The sequence below is a fragment of the Homo sapiens genome, chromosome 2 (genome assembly GCF_000001405.40).
Source record: "Homo sapiens chromosome 2, GRCh38.p14 Primary Assembly".
Lineage (NCBI taxonomy): Eukaryota > Metazoa > Chordata > Mammalia > Primates > Hominidae > Homo > Homo sapiens.
Window position 1 is genome coordinate 4,868,007 of NC_000002.12, and position 757 is coordinate 4,868,763.

The following is a 757-nucleotide window of genomic DNA, read 5'->3' on the forward strand; positions in this document are numbered from 1 at the left end:
TTGTTTAAAACAGCTGGGACCTCATACAGCTTGACTGATTGGATCGTTCTAAGATACAATTCTATTCAGATGTAGGTACTGTTTTGGAAGGAGGGCACTCTTTGAGTTCGGCACTATTTATACCTTACCATTCTAGCCAACTCTTAATGGATGGCCAGATGGTTTATTAGTATTAGGTTTTAAAATGGAAACAGCATACTACTATTTCCTCCACTCCAAGGAGCTAATCTAGTCCAGAAAAGTAGACTGAGATATTGATCCTCTTCTATTCTTAGAGAAGAAAGAGGGTAAAGTAGAGAAAACCCTGATAATTCAGAGGAGACATCAGAAACCTGGGCTTCATCCTTGACTGTGTTACAAACTAGTGTGTGACTTTGAACAAGTTTCCGAATGTTAATTCCCTCATCACTAGGGGATCATAGACTTGATTTTCTGTTCCAGGATACCATTAAGGTGAGTGGGGCTACTGTTAAGTATAATAATAATGGCAAGACAGTAAGCATAAACCAGAATGGCTCTGGGCAAGCCAGACTTATGAGCACCCTGTGTGTCCATAAACTGCCATTAGTTCATGTGGAAACTTTGTCCCTTGCACTCAGGAGAACAAATTTCTCTTTTACATATTGTGATTCCAAGTATGATTTCATTTGGAACAAAACTTTCCCCAGGGAGAAGGATAAATCTGAAAATCACAAATCCAGTGATCTAGAGAAAAATGGCCTTTGTTTCTAGAAGCACTGTGGCTGTCTCTTCAACT